Genomic DNA, 1,422 nt, shown 5'->3' on the forward strand with positions numbered 1-1,422 from the left:
ACTGTATGCTCCCATGCTTTATGCACATGTATTTACCCAGATACTAGTTAAGCACACACCATGCTCTCTTATCTGGCCATTTATTTGCTTAGAAGCTTCAGGGGTCGGGTCCTAAAAGGGACTAGGCAACTCCGGAATTCTCTTTCCAACAAAAGATTATTTCAAGGCCAGAACCCTCTCCTGGCTGAAGAGTGACTACAAGATTGACTGTGATTAATTTATAACCTGGTAGGATGCACAATGGTGCCGGCCCCTTCACCAAATGGGACAATAATTCAAGAAGGGCCACTGAAGCAAGTCACGCCACCTGGCACCTCTTAGTCCCCCTTGCCTCTTCCGCATTCCAAACCCTTTCTGTAAAACCCTGCGTTCCCTCCACAAACTGAAGAGTGGAACTGCTCTTCCCCTTGCCTGCACAAATAATAAAGGAATATCACTCTTTCTCATCATAACTTATTATTTTGCCTTCTTTCCATAAGTGGCCGGACTCTTTTTGCGAGTTAATCCCCAGCTTGATCTGTAAATTTAGTGTAATCACAATCAGAATTGTACTGCATGTTTTCGTCTGTAGAAATTGACAAATTGATTCTACAATGTATATGAAAAGGCAAAGGAGCTAGAAAAGCCAAAACCACATCAAAAAACAGAAAGCCAATTGGGGACTTGCAATTCACAATTTTAAGACACAGGTACGGCTCAAATAAAAAGGACCCTGGGAATTGGCGTAAGGATGGCCATAGCTCAGTGCACAGAAAAGACTCCAGAAAGAGCCCACACAGGTATAGCCAACTGCATCTTGACGAAGATGCAAGGTGATTTCATGGAGGAGGAAAGGGTGCAGGAACAACGGGATAATCATATGGGGAAAAACCAAAAACAACAAACTGAACTTGGACTCCACATCCAAGATTAACTTAAAATGGATTACACACCTAATCATAACAGCTCAAACATACACTTACACAGCAGAGCTTCTCAACATCACACCATTGACCACTGGGCTGGAATGACTCTTTGTTGCAAGGGCTGTCCCGTGCCTCCTACCTGAGGCATTTTGTGGCAACCCAGCCCACCAAGACACCTGTGCCACTGACGGAAAGAGGGGCAAACTCATGCCCAGCTGAGCCCTGCTGGTCTAGATGAAGGGCAGGTCCAGAGATGTGTCATGGAGTTCCTTGATAAAAATATTACCTTCTAATGGTGCAGGGACTACTAGATATCCATATGGCATAAAGAAATAAATAAATCCTTACCTCATACCATACATAAACATTAATTCAAAATGGATCACAGACCTAAACACAAGAGCAGAGCTTTTAGGTTTCGATAAGGAGATAATAAAAGCAGCCACAGACACCAATGTAGAAATAACAGCAAGATTCTCGGCCGGGCGCAGTGGCTCACGCCTGTAATCCCAGCACT

The sequence above is a fragment of the Homo sapiens genome, chromosome 7, assembly GCF_000001405.40.
Source record: "Homo sapiens chromosome 7, GRCh38.p14 Primary Assembly".
Taxonomy (NCBI): Eukaryota; Metazoa; Chordata; class Mammalia; order Primates; family Hominidae; genus Homo; species Homo sapiens.